The following is a 5,801-nucleotide window of genomic DNA, read 5'->3' as shown; positions in this document are numbered from 1 at the left end:
AATACACACACACACACACACACACACATATACTGTCCTCTTGTTATATCAAGAATACTCAGTGAAAGACAACAAAGTTGTGATTATGTAAGATGAGTAAGTCTAGAGATCTGATGTACACCACGAGGAATATAGTTAATAATGCAATATTGTATACTGGAAATTTGCTACAAGAGTAGATGTCAGGTGCTATCACTACACACACACAAACACACACACACACACAGAGACACACACAAGGTAATCATGGAAGAAAATAGATATATTAATTAGCTTGAATGTAGTGATCACTTCACTATGCATATGTACTGTATATATATATATGTATGTTCAGTATGTATATATGATATATGTCATATCAAACATCATGTTGTACACCTTAAATATATAGAATTTTTATTGAGAAGAAGAGAAAGAAGGGAGGAAAGAAAGAAAAGAGAGGAAGAAAGAAAGGAAGGAAGGAGGGAGGGAGGGAGGGAAGAAAGAGAGAGAAAGAGAAAGAAAGAAAGAGAAAGGAAGGAAGCAGGAGGGGAGGAGAAAGGAAGGGAGGAAAGAGAAAGGAAGGAAGGAAAGAGAGAAAAGGGAAAGAAAAGAAAGAGTAGTAAGTATATTTACATACTTAAACATAGTATTTGTACTTTTAGCACTCCATCTTCAGGAAATATTTTTAAATACAGCGAAGTATTTATTTGCAGAGATATTTATTTTACTCTTATTTATTTATGAAAATGAATGTTGAAAATCCCTAAATGTTCAACAATAAGAGAATTACTAAGTAATTGATATTATTCCCATCTGCTGGACTATTATGTAGCCATTAAAGTTGTTCATAAAGAATTCATAATAACACATAATGTGAAATAAAACACAGGTAAAAAAATCATAATTAGAGCCGGCACGGTCGCTCACGCCTGTAATCCCAACACTTTGGGAGACCAAGGCAGGTGGATCACGAGATCAGGAGATCGAGACCAGCCTGGCTAACATGGTGAAACCCTGTCTCTACTAAAAATACAAAAAAAAATAGCCCAGTGTGGTGGCATGAGCCTGTAGTCTCAGCTACTCAGGAGGCTGAGGCAGGAGAACTGCTTGAAACCGGGAGGCAGAGGTTGCAGTGAGCCAAGATCACGCCACTGCACTCTAGCCTGGGCGACACAGCAAGACTCTGTCTCAAAAAAAAAAAAAAGAAAGAAAAGAAATCATAATTAGGAAAAAGTAGGCAGAGCAAAAAACTGAAAAAATGGCTCAAATGTTATTATTGCTTGTCTTTGTATAGTAAGATTATGAGTAAAATTTCTCCTCTTTCTTTTTTCTAAATTTTATAAAATACTTTTAAAAAATAGCTTTAGTTTTAAAAAAGAAAGAAAAAAGTATAAGAACTGAAGAGGAAAAGATGAGAAAAGGAAGAAAAAGGGGAGGACATTTACTTTCTCCTCTCTTCTCTTCTTGACCCTTCAAAGACCTCCACCCAGAGACTTATCCCTAGCAAGGTAATTATGCCTTGATGGATTATTTACTGCCACCAACAGAGTGTTCCCTCCACATCTAGCTACTAAACTCTTAGCATCTGGACAGGTAAAGCAGAGTTTTACTGCCTACCAGCCCCAGTGCTGAATACTCAATAAATGTTAGACTAAACTGAGCAAGACTAAACGACACTGGCCCCATCCAAATCCTTTCTTTCCAAGGGGATCTGTAGTTTCAGTCTCCACCACACATCCCTGTTGCAAAACAGGATCAAAATTTCTCTCTGCTTCTTATACTTCAGTCTTATTCATCCAAGAACTCCAATGTTTAGTCTCTTAAGTGGCCCAGTGTCTGAAGACTGCAAACCTATCCAATCCATTGGAGCATATTGTCAAAACTACAAACTATGGTTTGAGGAGGTTGAATGTAAACTCTTAGGAATTCAAAGAATGGAGCAATTCACTATATTTCACAGTTGACTCCACTGCTCTCCCACAAGATAAATTTAAGTTCCTTCTCTGCAAATCTGATAGTTATCACACATTCGCCTCTGCTCCCCAAGTCAAAGGCTTCCCTTGGACTGCTCACATTTCTGCAAATTGGTGTCTATTTGTAGCAATTTGGTTTATTATCACTGGTTCAGGGACAATTTAGAGCAGACCTTGGCAAGCTCTTATGATAACAATCTGCCCCGTTGTGCTCCTTATGGAAGACACCTGCTTTGCCAGGATGATGCATTAGCTGTGGGTGACTGAGTAAGAACATAATTAAGCTGTCAAAGTTTCCACTGGACCCTCCTGGGCCTGGGCATAGTAAATCTCAGTCAGGTCTGCCCATCTTGCATGTTGGCCACAGTGCCTGTTCAGTCAGAGGGCCCTAGTGCCTTCCTTCTGCATTTGGTATCATAAAATGTCAATGACCTAAGACATAGGTCACTTAGGAAAGAAACCAGGGCTTGAGAGCCCCACTGATAGTCTCTAGGTTGGTTATTTTGCCCCCATCCTTTCCAGAATTATTCTAACCCAAGAGAACCCTGGAGTCATCCTGTAGCCAAAACAGTTTCCAGAAGGCTAAACACTGCCAGAACAGAATGGTTTTCATGAGGATCTAGCCTTGCTCCAACTTGGGTCTTTATCTATTGATGGTCAAAATGATAAATAAAAATGTTCCTATATCTCCTCAGTAGAGGATGACTGTCCCTGGAGGTAGAAGAGGTCACAGGTGAGATTTTATATACCAATAAATTATGTTTCTCTATTCACTAGGCCAGGCCTTCCCACCAAGACCCACTGCAATTATAATTGTAGATAACTTTAGATTAAAAGTCAGGGGACAACTGTGGTCCTTGGTTTCATCCTTTCTCACCAGTGCCAAACTCCCCAACTACTGCAGCTACTCTGTCCCTGGCCTATCAGCCCTCTTTCACATATTATGAGGTTTGATGGAAACAGCACAAGCTTTGAACCTGCACCCACCTGGCCACAAATTTGGTTCTGACTCTTTTTTTGTTTTTTTTGTTTTTGTTTTTGTTTTTGTTTTGAAAAGGAGTTTCACTCTTGTTGCCAAGGCTGGAGTGCAATGGTGCGATCTTGGCTCACTGCAACCTCCGCCTCCCGGGTTCAAGCGATTCTCCTGCCTCAGCCTCCCAAGTAGCTGGGATTACAGGCATGTGATACTATGCCTCGCTAATTTTGTAGTTTTCGTAGAGATGGGGTTTCTCCATGTTGGTCAGGCTGGTCTTGAACTCCCAACCTCAGGTGATCCGCCTGCCTCGGCCTCCCAAAGTGCTGAGATTACAGGCATGAGCCACCGCATCCAGCCAGTTCTGACTCTTATAAGCTGCAAGACCCTGGGCAACTTACTTAATCCCTGTGAGTATCAGGTACCACCTTACACCTTGTAATGTGGGTTAAATAAAATTATATCCACGAAGTACCTGGTAATGTCTCAATAGATACTAATTCCCTCCTTCATCCTCTACCCAGTCATTTACAAAGTCTTTCAGGCCATTCAGGCCTCCAGCATCATCCCCTCAAAAGCCCACTCTAAAGCACCTCCCAATTCAGTCACTCATGAGGACATCACTTTTCAGATCTTATTTACTCACTCATCTACTTGATCACTTGTTTTTCTTCCTTGCCAATTTGGTTTCTTTCGTTTTTTTGTTTTTTGATTTTTTTTTGTCTTTGAGACAGAGTCTCACTCTGTCGCCCAGGCTGGAGTGCAGTGGTGTGATCTCGGCTCACTGCAACCTCTGCCTCCCAGGTTCACATCATTCTCCTGCCTCAGCACCCTGAGTAGCGGGACTACAGGCACCCACCACCATGCCCAGCTAATTTTTTATATTTTTAGTAGAGACGGGGTTTCACTGTGTTAGCCAGGATGGTCTCAATCTCCTGACCTCGTGATCTGTCTGCCTCGGCCTCCCAAAGTGCTGGGATTACAGGCATGAGCCACCACGCCCAGCGTCTTCCTTGCCAATTTCTATGAGCTCTGTGAGGGCAGGGAGCTTGTCTGTTCTTGCTGACCACTATCTGCAGTGCCTAAAGCAGTTCCTGAGACACCACAGGAACTCAGAAACATGTGTTGGATGAATAAATTTTCAGCATAGGCTCTGGCTGAGAAAACCTCACAGTGTGGAAAGGGCAGCACTGACTCGGGTTTGCTGTGGGTCAAGGGCTTCAGGGAGGAATCACAGGCAGATCATGACCTTCCAGCTCCACAGGTGGCTCAAAGCACAGGGGGAAGAGCTTGTTAGCATTGAACTCACTTCATGTGTCTCCACAATCTCTCAGGTCTCTGGTGGACAGCTGAGCAAGCCAGAAGCTTCCATCAGGGCAGATCATGCTGGGCATCCTCCCCCTGTGGGTTCCTCATAGGACACACCCTGGACTTCCCTGGAGAAGCCCAGAAGTGACACAGAAGAGCAGGGGGAATCCTTCTCAGAAGGAAAGGTGAAAAACAGAAAGAACCAATTACATGTTTTCCCAGCGACAGAGACTGAAAGCACAAGTCTTGGGCATGTGCCATGAAACACCTTCTGTCTAGCTGGAAGCCAGATCTGGCCTCATTAATCCACTTCTGCTTAGTATTTCTTTGTTGAAAAGAAAAAAGAAAATCCTATCTCTGGTACAAGGAAAGTTTTTTGTTCCTTAGAGAAAGCTACAACAAATACATTGACTACGTTAAACCTCACTAGTAATCTAGCTAAATATAAATTAAGATAAAGTGCCATTTCCCTTATAAAATTAGAACAATTAAAATAATTCTCCATATGGATTAAAGTGAGATAAAATGGCATACTCATAGATTCCATTAAGAGAATAAATTACTATAAAAATTTTGGAAAGAAATTTGGAATCTTAGAGAAATATTTACATTAGGTCTGCCACTTATGGTTGTACAGTTGTGTTTTGTACAACTCTAAGAGGCACCATTCACCTTCCAAGAATTGTAAGCATAATTACGGAGGCAATTTTCCTGTAGATGGCAGTCGAGTGTCTAGTGGAAAGGGTGCCTCTTTCTAATTTGCACAGTTGCCTTATCAGCTACTGGCAAGGGTGATTTACATACATGAATACAGTAGCTACATTTCCATGAAATATACACTGAGCAAAAAATTCCCAATGTGGGAAATGTTTTATTTACAAAGATGTTCATCACAGCATTTTTCAAAAAGTGCGAACAACCTAAATGTCCAACAGTAAGGAAATTATTCAATCAAGTGTGCTAAACACAATTGATATTTATGAACTGCTTATAATGATATGGGGAAAAGCTTCTGCTGCGTTATCATTATAATTTTATACTTAGGGATACAAAATTGTGTATACAGCATGATTACTACTAAGTAAATCAAACAAAAATATTTAAAAGCTATTCATAATAAAATTGCAGGATGATAATAAGCCAAAATATTAGCAGTAGTTATTTTGGGGTATAGAATTACTAATGCTATTTTTGCCTCTCTAATTTACTATATTTTCTAAATATTTTAATAAGCATGTGTTCATTTTATATTGAAATCTCCACCAATAAATTTTTAGAAGTAGAGAATAGTTAGAAATGAGAAGCAGAACTAAAACCTTTTAAAATTCCGTTGCTGAGACACAAAATCATTGAAACACCTGGTGTGGTATTTCAGTATTTGTGGAAGGTGTTTTAGTATCAGCCAAAAATTTTTTTACACCACCTGCTCCAGAAACTCTCATCAAGAGCAGGAGCCAGGGGCATGGAAAGCTCTAAAGAAGGAAAGAGAAGGATCTCTGTCGCCAAGAATAAAAGAGTCTTATTGTTGCCTACAGAAATGCCTCATTATCTCCAGACCCCCAAAC

The 5,801-nt window shown here is 40.4% G+C and overlaps 1 annotated feature.

The window, feature by feature from the left end:
- Positions 699–868: an enhancer, noted in NCBI's record as "experimental_17738 CRE fragment used in MPRA reporter constructs". NCBI's record gives its function as "activates a minimal promoter by MPRAs in K562 erythroleukemia cells, with activity observed for the non-introgressed 10:86584246 variant allele {active_cell/tissue: K562}" and the evidence as "EXISTENCE:reporter gene assay evidence [ECO:0000049][PMID:34662402]".

This window comes from Homo sapiens, chromosome 10 (assembly GCF_000001405.40).
Source record: "Homo sapiens chromosome 10, GRCh38.p14 Primary Assembly".
NCBI classification, from domain to species: Eukaryota; Metazoa; Chordata; class Mammalia; order Primates; family Hominidae; genus Homo; species Homo sapiens.
The sequence above is the reverse complement of the archived record's forward strand: the minus strand, read 5'-3'. Positions and strand labels throughout refer to the sequence as shown.